At 51.9% G+C, this 428-nt stretch overlaps 1 annotated feature.

The window, feature by feature from the left end:
* Window positions 1-70: an enhancer, noted in NCBI's record as "active region_15776". NCBI's record gives its function as "activates an Ori minimal core promoter by ATAC-STARR-seq in GM12878 lymphoblastoid cells {active_cell/tissue: GM12878}" and the evidence as "EXISTENCE:reporter gene assay evidence [ECO:0000049][PMID:35858748]".

Consider the following 428-nt stretch of genomic DNA (forward strand, 5'->3'; position numbering starts at 1 on the left):
TGTGGCCCTGAGCCTACTGGGGAAGGGATTGAGGGTGTACTGCCCCTCCCCACAACAAGGTCGGAGGGAGAACAGGCCCAGATCTGTCCTCTGCTCCAATTTCCTCCTCAGAGAGGAAGAGGTGGCTCCGCACAGCAGCTGTGTGACCCTTGGCAGTTTCTCATCTGTAAAAAAGTGACAGCAACACCTGCTTCATAGAATATGGTGCTGACTCATTGAGATGATGTCTGTGAAACACCTAACATGCACTGGGTACTCAGCTAAGGGAGGGGGCATCCCTTCCTCCCAGCAGCAATTCATGAATTCTCAGGGAGCATCAGCCTCTCGTACATCTTGTTCTGCACCATCAATGACAACCTTCCCTAAACCCCAAATATAGCTCTCTCTATGCCAGCTGCATATGCCTATCTGCAGCTCCTCCAGTTCCA

The sequence above is a fragment of the Homo sapiens genome, chromosome 2, assembly GCF_000001405.40.
Source record: "Homo sapiens chromosome 2, GRCh38.p14 Primary Assembly".
Lineage (NCBI taxonomy): Eukaryota > Metazoa > Chordata > Mammalia > Primates > Hominidae > Homo > Homo sapiens.